Source organism: Homo sapiens, chromosome 1 (assembly GCF_000001405.40).
Source record: "Homo sapiens chromosome 1, GRCh38.p14 Primary Assembly".
Classification (NCBI taxonomy): Eukaryota; Metazoa; Chordata; class Mammalia; order Primates; family Hominidae; genus Homo; species Homo sapiens.
Genome location: NC_000001.11, coordinates 211,236,279 through 211,237,946, shown reverse-complemented (window position 1 = coordinate 211,237,946; position 1,668 = coordinate 211,236,279).

Sequence of the window (1,668 nt, the reverse complement as noted above, 5' to 3'; positions counted from 1 at the left end):
ATTTTTAGTAGAGACAGAGTTTCTCCATGTTGGTAAGTCTGGTCTGGAACTCCCAATCTCAGGTGATCCACCAACCTCGGCCTCCCAAAGTGCGGGATTGTAGACATGAACCACCGCGCCCGGCATCCTTAGGGATTTAATAACTCACTGTAAATACAGTGTTGGGTCGCTTAACGACAGGGACATGTTCTGAGAAATGTGTTGCTGGGTGATTTCATCATTGTTTCAACATCATAGTACATACTTACACAAACCTGGATGATATAGACTACTATACACCTCAGCTACAAACCTGTACAGCATGTTACTATCCTGAACCCTTGGTAAGTCCTTGTGTATCTAAGCATAGAAAGAGTACAATAAAAATATGGTGGCCAGGCCCTGTGGCTCACACGTGTAATCCCAGCACTGTGGGAGGCCTAGGGGGTGGATCACCTGAGGTCGGGAGTTTGAGACCAGCCTGACCAAAATGGAGAAACCCCGTCTCTACTAAAAATACAAAATTAGCTGGGCATGATGGCACTTGCCTGTAATCCCACCTACTCGGGAGAATTGCTTGAACCCGGGAGGTGGAGGTTGTGGTCAGCTGAGCTCACGCCATTGCACTCCAGCCTGGGTAACGAGCGAAACTCCATCTCAAAAAAAAAATACAGTATAGTAAATACATAAACCAGTAACATAGTTGTTTATCATTATCAAGTATTATGTACTGTACATAATTGTATGTGCTACACTTTTATACAACTGGCAGCTCAGTTTGGTAGGTTTGTTTTTCTCCAGCATCACCAAAAATATGTGAGTAATGCAGTGCACTACAACTTACCGTGGTTACGACATCATTGGGTGATAGGAATTTTTCAGGTTCTTTATAATCTTAAGGACTACTGACTGGGAGTGGTGGCTCATTCCTGTAATCCCGGCATTTAGGGAGGCTGAGGCAGGCAGATCACTTGAGCCCAGGAGTTTGAGACCAGCATGGGCAACATGGTGAAACCCCACCCATCTCTACAAAAAATACAAAATATTAGCTGGGCATGGTGGCACAGCCCTGCAGTCCCAGCTACTCGGGAGGTTGAGAGGTGGGAGGATCACTTGAGCCCTGGAGGCCTAAGCTGCAGTGAGCCGTGATCACGCCACTGTACTCCAGCCTGGGCTACAGAGAGAGATCCTATTTCAAAAAACAAACAAAAAAAACAACTTAGGTACTATCATTGTATGCTACCATGTTTATGCTGTCCATCCTGGACCAAAACATTATTATGAAGCACATGACTCCTTTTTAAACAAGGCTCTTATGTAATTGTATTATTTTTTCTACAAACACATAAAGCAATTTCAAATCCCCATGGAACAGAATGGAATACAAATACACATACAATTATTTATACCAACCAAATGTTCAAAATTGTAAACTATTTTTCTTATAAATTGAAAGCTGTGTTTTGAGTTTTTTTCTTTCGTTTTTTTTTTGTTTGTTTGTTTGAGATGGAGTTTTGCTTTTGTTGCCCAGGCTGGAGTGCAGTGGCATGATCTCAGCTCACCGCAACCTCCGCCTCCCGGGTTCAAGCAATTCTCCTACCTCATCCTCCCAAGTAGTTGGGATTATAGGCATGCGCCACACCTGGCTAATTTTTAAAAAAATTTTTAGTAGAGATGGGGTTTCTCCAT